The 14,606-nt window shown below is 39.6% G+C and overlaps 1 protein-coding gene across 4 annotated transcripts in view; it reads right to left on the reverse strand.

Moving 5' to 3' along the window:
* Nucleotides 1-14,606, reverse strand: part of CUBN (cubilin) — a 305,846-nt gene that overhangs the window by 34,539 nt on the left and 256,701 nt on the right. For all 4 annotated transcript variants that reach the window (NM_001081.4, XM_011519710.3, XM_011519709.3 and 1 more), the window contains one exon: nt 11,132-11,349. In NM_001081.4, the coding sequence (NP_001072.2) occupies nt 11,132-11,349 (218 nt within the window). The remainder of the gene's footprint in view (nt 1-11,131; nt 11,350-14,606) is intronic.

A 14,606-nucleotide genomic window follows, 5' to 3' on the forward strand; every position in this document is an offset into this window, starting at 1 on the left:
AAGACAGGGTCTTGCTATTATTGGCCAGGCTGGTCTTGAACTCCTGGCCTCAAGGGATCCTCCCACCTTGGTCTCCCAAAGCTCCGGGATTACAGGCATGAGACACTGCCCCCAGCCTTTATTTTAAAATTTATATGGAAAGGCACAGGCCTTCAAATAGCTAAAACAACTTCACAAAGAAAAATGAAGTGGGATGAATCACTCCACCTGATATTAAGGCTTACCATGTAGCTATAGTAATCAAGACAGTGTGATATTGGTGAGGAGTTAGACACATAATCAATGGAATAGAATACAGAACCCAGAAATAGACCTATACAAATATGTCCAACTGATTTTTTTCAAATGTGCCAATGCAATTCAATGAAGGAAGGACAGCCTTTTCAACCAATGGTGCTAGAGCAATTGGACATCCAGAGGCAAAAAACTGACTTCCACCTAAATCTCATATCTAAACCAAAATGAGCTCAAAATGGATCATAGACACAAATGAAAAATGTAAAATCATAAAACTTTTAAAAGAAAACACCAGAATAATCTCTGGGACCTTGGGGTAGGCAAAGAATTCTTAGACTTGGTATCAAAAACATGATCTATAAAAGAAAAAGTCGATAAATTGAACTTCAACATTAAAAACTTTTGTTCAGTGAAAGGCCAATATAAGGCAAGAAAATTAAAAGGCAAGATATAGACTGGGAAATAACATTTGCAAACCACATACTGACAAAGGATCATTGATTGAGAATAGATAAAAAGCTCTCAAAACCCAACAATAGAAAAATAAACAATTCAATTAGAAAATGGGTAAAAGATATAAATAGATATTTCACCAGAGAATAGATATATAGATGACGAAAAGCACGTGAAAATTGTTCACCATTAAATTAAAATCACATGAGATATTAATACACACCTACCAGAATGGCTAAAATAAAATTAAATAACAACAACAGCAACAATAACAGTACTCTACAATGAGATGACCAGGGGAGGGATGGGGGTCCCCAGTTATAGAAAGCAATGGCTTCCTAATCAAAATAATACAAGCCAGAGCATGATGGAATAGCATCGTAAAGTCCTGAATGAAAATAAATGCCAAATTAGAACTCTATACTCAGAGCAAGAATCCCACAGAATTTAAGAAAATCAAGTCATTTTCGAAAAACAAAAACAAAGAACACTTTTTACCAGAAGATCTCCAATGAAAGAAACATAAAAGAGAGGTCTTCCAAAAGAAATACATTAATCCCATATGGAAGCATAGAATTTCAGGAAGAAAAGAAAAATAACAGCAAGGGTAATTTTACATTATTAGTAATTGTATAAAACAATAAAAATGTTTTGTGTACCTATTATGTACGTAGAATTAAAATACTTGGCATAGATAGCACAAAAGACAGGAAGTGGGTAAGTGGGTTTAAAATGTTCCAAGGTCCTTGGATTGATTATTGATTATAACATGATAAAAGTATCAACTTTAAATTAGATTCTAACATATTAAGGTTGAATACTGTAATCTCTAAGGTAACTACTGAAACAAGAGTCACAGGATGTATAAATAATAATTTTAAAAGGGGAGTAATAAAAAAGTGATTAATTTTAAAAAGAAAAGATAGTTAAAGGAAAACAAAAAGAAGTGGGACAAACAAAACACAAATAGTACAAAGGTCTATCTAAAACTAATATTGTTAGTAATTTTATCAGATATAAACACATTAAATTCTTCAATAGAAAGGCATAGCCAAACAAAAGCCAAATATATTCTTCAGGATAGAGACAAGTTGAAAATAAAAGGGTTTAAAAACATATCACGCAAATATGAATCAAAAGAAAGCTATGGAAGTTATACTAAATCAGAACAAGTAGAAATTAAGGCAAAAAGCATTTAAAAACGTTGTTACATAATGGTATCAGTCAATCCACTAGAAAGATATAATAATTATAAATGTACATGTGCCACATTATATGGCTTCAAAATAAAAAAGAGCAAAACTCCAGCCAAGATGTTTCTACTGAGCTTCTAACTCTCTTATCTGACTACCTACTGATCACTAGCTGGATATCCTAAAGGCATCAAATTCTCCAGACAAAACCCAACATTTTTATTATTTTATTCTGCAAAGCACTGTCCTCTCCTAGTAATTTTCTATTTGAATAGTGGTGTCACAAGACATTGTCCAGAAACCTTAGGAGCATTATTATTTCTTCTTCCCAAGCTGCTTCTCTCAAATGGAACACTGTGTTATTGATTCTATATCTTGAGGATTTCTCCTTTCAGTCTCTTTCTTTATTTTCATGGTACCACTGCTCTTATCATCCCATGCCTAAACTATTGCAATACTTTTCTAACTTTTTCCCTGGAATGCTGCTTCAAAACATCATCCCCACAGGTGCTGGGATGTGCTTTCTAAAATAAATCTGACCAGATGATAGCACGCTCCAGCTCAAAACAATGACTGGCTCCTCTTTGCACATGATACAGAGCCCTCCATGCCTGGCCTTTGCATATCTCTCCTCTCTCAGCACCTATTGTTCTCTGCCTTATGCCCCAAAGCATTACCAATGTTCAGGTTAGCTGGCATCCATTGAAATGGGATGCACCTGTAACTTTGTGCATGTGTTTTATTTCTCCATAGATTGTCCATTTTCCCAATGAATGCCTTTTTTTTTTTTTTGAGATAGAGTTTCACTCTGTCACCCAGGCTGGAGTGCAGTGCTGTGATCTCCACTCACTGCAACCTCTGCCTCCCAGGTTCAAGGGATTCTCCTGCTTCAGCTGCCCGAGTAGCTGGGACTACAGGTGTGTGCCACCAAGCCTAGCTAATTTTTGTATTCTTTGGTAGAGATGGGGTTTCACCATGTTGGCCAGGCTGGTCTCAAACTCCTGACCTCAGGTGATCAGCCCGCCTCAGCCTCCCAAGCGCTGGGATTACAGGCGTGAGCCAGCATGCCTGGCCAATGAATGCCTTCTTATCCTTCCAAAATAATACTATTTATAGCTAAAAATTCTCGCATGTGAAATGAGTGACAAGTATTTTCTAATTTAATCACTGAACCCTATAAGGTCATTATTATTAGTGTACTGTTTTTACAGATAAAAAAAAAAATCAAGACTCAGAGTGGATAAGTAAATTGTCCAAGATCGACCTCAATGAGATGTACAAACTGAGTTTGAATCTGGGATGTGATGCTCCACGTTTACCCTCTTACCCACTGCACCATAATTCAGGACTCACATTCTCTGAGGTGCATCCTCTAACAGTCCTGTGTCCTTTCTTCCACGGAACATCCAAGTACCATAGATCCCTTCTTTCTTGCTTCCAGTGCCCTTTTGCATACATTTCTGTTAAAAAGAATCCCTGGGGGCTGGGCGCAGTGGCTCACACCTGTAATCCCAGCACTTTGGGAGCCTGAGGAGGGTGGATCATGAGGTCAGGAGTTCGAGACCAGCCTGACCAACATGGTGAAAGCCCGTCTCCACTAAAAATACAAAACTTAGCCAGGCGTGGTTGCATGCGCGGGTAATCCCAGCTACTCAAGGGGCTGAGGCAGGAGAATTGCTTGAACCTGGGAGAAGGAGGTTGCAGTGAGCGGAGATCACGCCATTGCACTCCAGCCTGGCAACAGAGTGAGACTCCGTCTCTCTCTCTCTCTCTCACACACACACACACACACACACACACACACACATCACATCCCTGGGTATTTTTATCAATTGCCACAGAGGCAATGAAGGCTTACTAAGAAAATCAGGAGTTTGGGGGACAGTCAAACTCATGTTCAAAGCCTGGCTTTACCTCTTACAAACCCTTTGGACCACAGACAAATTACTTAATCTCTTAAATTTTTCTTTCTTCCTTTGTAAAATGGGGTAATTCCTGTCTCATCTGGTAGCTCTGAGGATTAGATAAAGTAATATACATCAAGCAGCTCATGCTACATCTGGTAGGGCACAGGTTCAGGGACAAGCAGTGATTTTCACGATGCCCTGGGATTTCCTGACAAGTCTTTACTTGTGAGTGAGCAAAATGTACAGCTACCATGTAATGTTAACAGACTTTTCACATATTAGAATGAAGAGAAGAACACGGTCCCACTATTATATTTCCTAACAGTTTATTTATAACAAAAGAATGTTTTAAAATTTTTATTGCTCACTGCATATATTTTGTTTTTATGTTCCTGGGAATGCTATAACAAAGCCAGGCTGATCTGAGTAAGGATGTTGATTATTATAGGGAATTTATGGGTACAAATAATTTAACCCAAAATAACCAGTTACCTGCGACAAAACTAGGTCGCGTCTTGTGTTTTAGATTACACATAATAAGTGCTTCTTCCCAGCACCTGTTCCCTTCAGTGTTTTTCAAAATGTTATCCTATAATTTACCATTAACTCAATTTTATCACTTAGTTTGGTCTCCACAATACCATGTGGTTTTATTTTCACAAGGACAGCCCCATCCTTCAAGACCAGGAGTGGCAATCTAGTCATTGGTGGGGGCACAGACTCCAGTGTTGAAATATGTTTATTAAGAACCTTTCCTTTCTTCTTGCTGATTTGGTATTTAACTCCTGTCTACTTGCTTTTGTAAAGTTTTGGTGAACTAAGCATTTGTTGGTTTCTTTATCCCGTTCCCACATTCTCAGCTCAGCAAAAAACCTTTCCCCATAAAACCCACAAAGAATAACGTGAAGATAACCTTGTCTTTAGGATCATCCCCCAAGGGAAGTCTAATCACCAGTAAAAGGTACAGGGCTTAAAAAGAGCGGAAATAAGCTTAGTTGGGTTTTTCTTTAAATGGGTTTACAGTTTCAGCTCATCTCATTCTCAGACTTCATCACAGGGAGCAAATGACATTAGGAAACCAGAAAAATGACATTCCATGGTTGCTTTGGAGCAATACCCTCATTATTGCTAAACTGAGAGTTGTTTGATCAGTGATTTATCCAATTATTCAAGTTATAATTCAACTTCCTTATTACATTTGTACTTCTAACAGTAACGTGAGCTGACAACTTCAATCAGGCCACCAAGAGGTACCTAGAGACATATACATATATTTTTTATGCCATTGAATTTTTAAGTTTATTCTTGTATTGTTTAGCTATTTTAGAATGCCTCACAAAGTTTAAATTTAACACCAAAACTGGGAAACTTAAAAATAACTAGAAGCAGAAGTCTGAATTGGACATGTTAGATTTTTTTTTCCATTTGTTGTGACCATGTTTTCCATCTTTGTGGCCCTAGACTCTCTTCAGCTTTCTCTGTCTCCTTCTTTCTTTCTTTCCTGTTTCCTTCTTTTTTATCCCCTTCAACTTCCTTCTGCCACTCCCACTGTCTTCATTTAACGTGTTTGAGAGACATTTTCCAGATGTTAAGGTAACAGGCAAAAACTCACAGGAGAGAAACACAGATGACCTAAATATTGAGTGTGATCCGGTATTCCTAATTCTCTGAAGATGAAAGTGATTCAATTTACCTCCCTGTGTAGAGCTTACCCAACAATTATATAAACCAGGATTGAATTTTGAGAATGAGCTGAATCTAGATAAAATCTAATGTGTTCTATATGGTATATTATTATATCTCATTATAAAATATGATTTTGAAGTAGGCACAATTTATCCATTTATTCTGTAAATCACTCATATGGACAATATCGATGGAGTAACAATTGTGCAAGGCCTGGGGATTTAATCAGAATGTAGCTTTTGATTTCAGATTTAGGTTATAAAATGTACTTTAGGATTTGACGGTTAGGTGTCACTGCAAAGTGGGTAGGAAAGAACGAAAAATCACTGTAGCATGATGTGGTCCTGTTGAGAATGTTGATCCCTGCCCACCCCACCCTCAGCCACCCTCCAACCTTGGAAATAGGGTTGGGCGGGGGGCTTGAAAATTTGGGACTTCAATATTACTTTCTAATACATAGAGTCTTTCACTCTGACAGCTAAGGTGCTTTCCAGAAATTATCTGCTTTATCCCCATCACATTCTTAAATAGTTGTAATATTTCAAATTGATCAGTTTTTTAGTAGATAAAAATTGAGATTCAAAACGTTATAGGGCTTTTCTAAAGCCGTATCACCAAGCAATGATATCATGCATCAATCAGCTCTTTCCATCTGGCCATATGTCTTTTTTTCTTTCTTTTTTTTTTTTTTTTTTAGATGGATTTTTTTGCTCTTGTTCCTCAGGCTGGGCACAATCTTGGCTCACCACAACCTTCACCTCCCAGGTTCAAGCGATTCTCCTGCCTCAGCCTCCCGAGTAGCTGGGATTACAGGCATGTGCCACCATGCCTGACTAATTTTGTATTTTTAGTAGAGACAGGGTTTCTCCATGTTGGTCAAGCTGGCCTCGAACTCCCGACCTCAGGTGATTCACACACCTCGGCCTCCCAAAGTGCTGAGATTACAGGCGTGAGCCACCATGCCCAGCTTTTTTTTTTTTTTTTTTTTTTTTTTTTTGGGACGGAGTTTTGCTCTTGTTGCCCAGGCTGGAGTGCAATGGTGCTATCTTGGGTCACTGGGTCACTGCAACCTCTGCCTCCTGGGTTCAAGTGATTCTCCTGCCTCAGCCTCCCAAGTAGCTGGGTTTGTAAGCATGCACCACCATGCCTGGCTAATTTTTTGTATTTTTAGTAGAGACGGGGTTTCACCATGTAGGCCAGGCTGGTCTTGGACTCCTGACCTCAAGTGATCTGCCTGCCTCAGCCTCCTAAAGTGCCAGTATTACAGGCGTGAGCCACCGTGCCCAGCCTACCTGAACATATTTATACATTTGTTGGACTGTAATTCATTCTGTCCTTGTTATATATGTGCTTGGGTATTTTTGCCTTGGTCTCTTAGCAAAGGTCTCTGAACTGACCTTAATGCAACCTGACTCAGTCTCCATGTGACAAATACCCCAGGTGGAGGAAGGCAGACAGTGGCCCTCGTCATCAGCATGTGTGCTCTGGGCAACAGGGGCTGGCTGGGAGCTTTGAGTCCAGGTGAGAGGTGAAGCCAGTTGGACTTCCTGGGTCAAGTGGGGACTTGGAGAACTTTTCTGTCTTACAAGAGGATTGTAAAATGCACCAATCAGCGCTCTGTAGCTAGCAAGAGGATTGTAAAATGCACCAATCAACGCTCTGTAAAATGCACCAATCAGCAGGATCCTAAAAGTACCCAATCACAGGGAGGATTGAAAAAAGGGCACTCTGATAGGACAAAAATGGAACATGGGAGGGGGCAATAAGGGAATAAAAGCTGGCCACCCCAGCCAGCAGCCGCAACCTGCTCGGGTACCCTTCCACGCTGCGGAAGTTTTGTTTTTTTGCTCTTTACAATAAACCCTGCTACCGCTCACTCTTTGGGTCCATGCCAATTTTAAGAGCTGTAACACTCACCACGAAGGTCCATGGCTTCATTCTTGAAGTCAGTGAGACCACAAACCCACCAGAAGGAACCAACTCCAGAAACACAGGCACTGCCACCACTTGTCCCTGAGGGTGCGTCTTCCCCATCTGTCTTCCTGTGCTGTCTGTCCCCCTGCTGTCTTGCAGGGGACACCCCTCAGTCTCTCCTTGGCAACTCACTAATTGAAATGCCTGCAGACCTCCCATCTAATAGAGCCAAGTTCCATTTTCTACACTGAAGTTTTGCTGAAGTGTTATAGAATACATCATTTTAGAAAAAAAAAATGAAACAATGATGCTACTGCACAGTAAATAAATAAGTTTACTGAAAGCCCCTGATCTAACCCTATGTGTAGAAGTTTGATGTGTAGTGTGACATGCATATTGTGAATAGGCCAAGCAACTCTCTGGTATGAGACCCCCTCAGGAAGAACTGGAGGCTCTGATGGTTAAAAATACGTTTGCAAGTGTGAAGTGATTTGTACAGGACACACATAAACAGAGTCAAGGCAGGAGACGACCCTGCTGGTAAAGGAAGGGGCAGCAACTAAACTAGCAGAAGTTAACAGGACAGAAGGTACTTAAAAGCATCCGTTCTGCCTATAGGCCATGCCCACTTAGCCAAATCCACAGAACCAACAGCTTTTTAAACTTTATAGGAGCATAGAAGCCATTGACAATCTGATGCAAACTATGAACTCGGTTAGGAAAAATGCTCCGATTTGCAGATTATTTCAGAGTTTCACAGATTGCTGCAGCCCAGTGTGATCATTTTGCTGGTTGTCAGCCATTCAGGATCAATTATTCATATAGCATTGGAGCACAGGGGGGAGACAAGCAGGCACATTTCCATTGCAGTTAGAGATCAGCTCATGCTTGCCAAATGTGCTTTCTCCTTACCTTGCATCCATGCATATGGGCCTCCAGCAGCAGAAGTTCCGAGGAAAAAGGAGACCCAATTTCACTACATATTTAGTAATTAGCAACTAGGGATAGTTCCCCCAAATTTGCTGTGACTCGCTAGCAATACAAATATAACAAATGCACAAGGCGAATTGAACCTAATAGTCACATAATTATATAAGCCAATCTCTTCATCCTGAAAAATTGAAGCAGATGTACATAAAACATTGCCAAGTGTATAATCTAAATAGCAAATCTGCAAAACCCTACTTAGTGTTTTAGTTAAGATCGAAACGGAAATGTCATAGACTAAAATGGTCTCCTCTTCACATCAATTATTTACTAAGTGAAGATATTGTTTTCCAGGCTGAGCAAACAGCTTTGTAAATGAAAATCCACTATCTGGTCCACAAAGTTGATTTCCCTCTCTTCAGGGGAAAGACAGAGTTGTTTTACATAAATGAGTTGGAGGCAAAAGGGGCATCCTATTAGCCAAGTTTGTCTTCATCCAAAGCTATAACTAAACGACCCTATAAACCTTACAGTCAAAGCTATTCTTATTGTTCCTTCCCCCTCTCCTCACTACAAACAATAAAAACCAAAATGAAACAAAATTTGAAAGTTATGCAGAATGATCAATAAACTTGTCAGTGTGTGGTCTTGAAAGCTTTGTAAGACCACTGCAATGCAAAATCATAATACTTAGGTTTTCACTTAAACATTACCATCAAAGAGTAGTTACAATGACTTGAAGTATTTCCAAGTGGCTGATGGCATTTATGCAGATGAAAAAGAGGTAAAAATCATCTTCATGAAATACAGGGGTAACACAATGCTGGCAAGGAGTTCCGTTTCTACATTCTCCACTTAAACCTTTTCCCTAACTGTGGCCAGAGGAAAACAGTAAGTGACTGTAATTGTTCAATGACTCGTGCATAGAGAATGCTTCTGACAGTGTAAGACTTTTCCTTCTGTTAAATCACAATAGGTCTAAAAATGTCTTCTTTGTGGCTTGGAAAGACATGGTAATTTAATGAGGCTAGGGAACCCTGGCTCACTTGAGAAGCTTCATGCAGATGATAGCAGTGAGGAGATTGTTAACACAACAATTACCATTTTCTTGTGAGACTATATTAGGAAAAAGAAAAACAACTTGAAAGGTAGCAAAGCAAATGCAGACATAGGACATTTGGTCTAAAGTCTGTGCTAAAGGCAAGAATATATCCCTTTTTTGTGCAAAAAAAAATCTCCAAAGGAAAATTAATTTTTCTTTCAAAATAGCCTTCTGGCTTTTGTATGCTACTTCACCTACACAATTCTGTTAAGGCAACACTCTCTCACTGCCCGTGAGACTTGCTTTCAAGTTACTGTTGAGACAGCTAAGTAGGGGAGGTGGCAAAGGGATTTTCTGATACAATTTGTCTTGAGGTGTGTGGTTTACCGGGAAGCCTTCAAAACACAATGTCTAATTGCTTTCCTCAAGTACTGCATGGAAAAATTCACATGCCCAATATCAAGAAGTTGAAGGTAAACTCCGTTTTGCATCAGAGAAACGAAGTTTATCCACACTATGGAAGAAACAGAAAGTTTGAAAAGTGAATCAGGGTTATTATTACAGAAAACTGCCTGGATTTTTCTGAGTCTTCACAGAGTATGAGATTTGTTTGGAGAGTTGTGCATTTTTAGAACATTAATCACATCTATATTCAAAAGGAAAAGGATCAAAACACTTTCCAGAGTCGAATATTAATGATCTTAGACTGTGTCACTGATGCTGTTAGAATAGCCAAACAGGTAATTGATTAACTACCTTTTATTTTAAATTATTCAAAATTCTGAGTTAATTTGATATGGGTATTTCTCACCAGTGGTGTTTGATGTGGATAATTTATTTCTCACATGCAGTGGGAGTAATCTGGGGCATATTTTCAGTTTATCCTCTCACCTAACTTTACCTACCCCCGCTACATCACCCTCTCCAGTCCAAATTCCTTCTCAAGCATCAGCTTCCAACTAGACAGCTCCATTTAAACAGGTCTTCCAACTTAAAATACTCCAAATTAAATAAAACATTTCTCCCTTAAATCTTAGTCTCCTAAGCCACCATCATCCAACAAATTACCTATAGAAAGTCATCCTCAATTCATGTCCTCATTAAAATATCATCAGAGTCCAAACACTGTGCTTCCAATGTATTCTGCCTTCCGTCTCTCAGATTTCTGCCCTTCCCTTTATCTCTTTCCCCTCTGGGTCCGTTCAAGGCTTTGACACTTCCCATCTAGATTTCTATCATAAGCTTCTTCCTTCCCATGTTGTAGGTTCTTCTAGCCTTCCTCCACTGTGCTACCAAAGTGATTTTTTTTTTTTTTTTTTTGAGACAGAGTCTCATTCTGTCACCCAGGCTAGAGTGCAATGGTATGATTTTGGCCCACTGCAACCTCCATCTCCTGGGTTCAAGCAATTCTCCCACCTCAGCCTCCTGCGTAGCTGGGATTACAGGCACACACCACCATGCCCAGCTAATTTTTGTATTTTTGTAGAGATGGGGTTTCACCATGTTGGCCAGGCTGGTCTTGAACTCCTGACCTCAGGTGATCCACCCGCCTCAACCTCCCAAAGTGCTGGGTACATTTGTTGAGTGATTTTTTTACAACATTAAAATATGTCATACGTAAGTTTTAAAACCAAGCCCTTACATGGCATATTCTTCTAAGCTTCAAGGAAAAGCAATCATAATCAGGTGGGGGTGGGGGGGGGGCGGGGAAATTAAATAAAGCAGAAAGGTAACAGTCCTGACAAATAGATTTACAAGTCCAGAATTCTTACCCAATGTCTGCCGGAAAGACATCTTCCAGCCTTTTGCTGTCTGAAATGAATCTGTCTTGAACACCAGGAGCATACTATTATTGCTGCTCTTCACATTTGGTGGGCGCTTGGAACCGCAGAATTTGCCAAGAAGGGGATCGCTGGTATTGGCACCATCGTAAATTGCCAGGTAGTCATGGGAGCAGGAGGTGGAGGGAACCACATCAAAATCACTGAACCTGTGAAATGTACCTTGTTAATACTGATGTTTCCATTTGGACTTCTATTAAATTGTAGCTTTAGCTCTTGCAAAAAAAATGACAAGGAAAAAACTACCAGTAGAGCATTCAAAACTCACTTGATATGAAATATTAGAAATCAAACAGTACTTTACTGATCAGTTCAAAAGTTTAGCCAAATTTGTTTTTAGTAATTACAATACAACAAAAACTGTGACAGCAGCTGGGGATGTCAAAGTGAGTAAGATACAGTCTTACTTTTCAAGGAATTCACAGTCTAGGGCATATTAAAGTCCATCTGAGAACAACTTTTGACAAGTTGAACTGATATTTACTATCCCAGCAATACTTTAGTTTTTTAGGTCTCATTAAAAATACCATATTTACTCTTCCCTTGTTATTTTATGAGATGAAGTAGAACTTATGGGAAGCATGTTAATATAATAGAAGAAATGCTGCTTTTAGAATCACAGCTCCATTCTCCTCACAGTCTCATTTTCCTCTTTTAAAATGAAGTTTATGTTAAGGTCAGGTGAAGAACAGGAAATTTACATTTAAGACCTCTGTGGTGGTCACTGACACTTCTGCACATGGTCCCAGCTCTCTGCCTCCCCAGCACTGGTAGGATTGCCCTAGGGGCACACTTTGAGGCTTGACATGGCTGCTAGGAGTTGCTTTGACCACAGAAATGTAAGCAGAAGGGATACATATTACTTTACGGAAGAAGCTTTACAAATGACTACTTGCTTTGCCACACTGCCTTCCCACTGCAGTGATGATCATGGAAGCAAATGTAAAAACGAAGCTTCCATCAGCCTGGGTTGTTGGATGACCACGATGAGCAGAGCTTCCATGCCAGGCCACACTGAACATGCTCATTACAATGAGAAATCAACTTGTTGAGTTAAGCTGCTGTGAGGTGGAGTTGTTTGTTACTATGTGCATAACCTATCCTGACAGATGCATCCCTAACTTTTCTCTGTCTTATACAGTGTTTAATTCAGGTCTTATTCTTTGTCATTTCAAATAACGATTTCTAGAGTTCCTGAACAAGCAAGGCTTCTTACATGGATTTACTTTAGAGTTTTGTGGTGGGTTTATTATAGCTTATTTTTAAAACTTGTTTAAAAAAATAATATTTGATATCCTGTCCTCATTTTTATAGGTTCTTCTGCTTTTTCTTTTTTTTTTTGAGACAGAGTCTCACTCTGTTGCACAGGCTGGAGTGCAGTGGCACAATCTCAGCTCACTGCAACCTCTGCCTCCCTGGTTCAAGTGATTCTCTTGCCTCACCCTCCCGAGTAGCTGGGATTACAGGTGTCCACCACCATGCCTGGCTATTTTTTTTAATTACATGTATATTTTTTAGTAGAGATGAGGTTTCTGCCATGTTGGCCAGGCTGGTCTTGAACTTCTGACCTCAGGTGACCTGCCTGCCTCAGCCTCCCTGTGCTGGGATTACAGGCATGGGACACCATGCCCAGCCTGCATTTTCAATTTATTTTGGCAGTAGCTCTAATAAACAATCCATAATATGGAATAATTTTGAAAATATAGACTAAATAATATATATTTATATATAAAATATATAATAAATGCTTCCTTTCAACAGCCTTGAGAAAAAAAATTGTTGGTTTTTTTTCTAAAAGGTTTTGGTTGGTTGAAGGTTTTCAGACTGATGAGGAACAAGATGAAAACCGTATTGATTTTCTTTTACCACATTTAACATTTAATGTTATTGTAAAAGATCAGGGAAGAACAATAGCTAGATAATTTCCAACAACACTGTATTCATTTTAATTCTCTACAGACAACACATTTATTTTTCACAAAAAGAATCCACAAAGAGAGATAAAATCTGAGTTTCTAAGAGGACTTAAATCTGCTTTGGCTTTTTATTTTACATCATTTTCCCAGGAGAGCACAGAAGAGATCTGAAAAGCCCATTGACAGAAAAGCTTGTGTAACCACAATCTTTTGAGAGCCTTTTATTAATGTCTGCATCTTCTACCACACCTAGAATCTTATCTGTTTCCTAGAATGTAGGCTCTTAGTGCGCAATAAATAATTTTCTAAACCTGCAGATGTAGGCTGGGTGTGGTGGCTCACACCTGCAATCCCAGCACTTTGGGAGGCCGAGGCAGGTGGACCACTTGAGGTCAGGGATTCAAGACCAGCCTGGCCAACATGGCAAAACTCCATCTCTACTAAATATATATATATATACAAAAGAAAAAATTACCCAGGCTGGTGGCACACACCTGTAGTCCCAGCTACTCAGGAGGCTAAGGTGGGAGAATCGCTTGAACCCAGCAGGTGGAGGTTGCAGTGAGCTGAGATCACGCCACTGCACTCCAGCCTGGGCGACAGAGTGAGAGCTAGTCTCAAATAAATAAATAAGTAAAATAAAATAAACATGCAGATGTAAATTTCATTATGGTGAGCTCCAGGATCCAGGCTGAAAACTGAAAAAATACATTTAGATTGTATACATACATATATATATAGATAGATAGACAGATAAAGAGAGAGAGAATATATAACATACCTCTATGAGTTGGTATGTATACCATGGTTGGAATGTTTGTGTTCCCCTAAATTCATATGTTCCCTAAGCTAATGGTATAGGAAGTGGGGCCTATGGGAGGTGATTAGGTCATGGGGGAGGACCCCTCACAAATGGGATTAGTGTTTTATAAGAGGCCCTTCCAGCTCATGAAGACACAGCAAGAAGGTACCTTCTATAAGCCAGAAAACAGGAGCTCACCAGACAACGAATCTGCCTCGACCTTGGACTTTTGCAGCCTTTTGTTGTTTATAAGCCACCCAGTTTATGATATTTTGTTAAAGCAACCTGAACAGAACAAGGCAATAATCAATCCTACACATATGAGAAACAAATAGTGAGTCACAGTAGCAAATGGCTCCCCCTTACACTTTCACGCCTGTGCAGGCATACTTCACAGAACTCCTGCTCCTGGCCATCTGACAGTTTCTGTTCTTTTGTCCCCAAGACCTAAAAGACACTCTGTTTTCCTACAAATAGTCCAGGTAAGAGCTGCAGTTTTCTTCGAGGTCCAGCCTATAGAACGCCTGATACAGGAACCAAATCAGGCTTGATGAGAGATGTCTTTCATCAAGACATCTCTTGTTCACTTGGAGAGCCAACTGATACATGAGGCCTCTGGAAGTAAACTGCAGGGAGTACAGAATCTTTAGGGTAGAAAATGATCACAGACAAATAGAGGGGAGGTAGG

Source organism: Homo sapiens, chromosome 10 (assembly GCF_000001405.40).
Source record: "Homo sapiens chromosome 10, GRCh38.p14 Primary Assembly".
Lineage (NCBI taxonomy): Eukaryota > Metazoa > Chordata > Mammalia > Primates > Hominidae > Homo > Homo sapiens.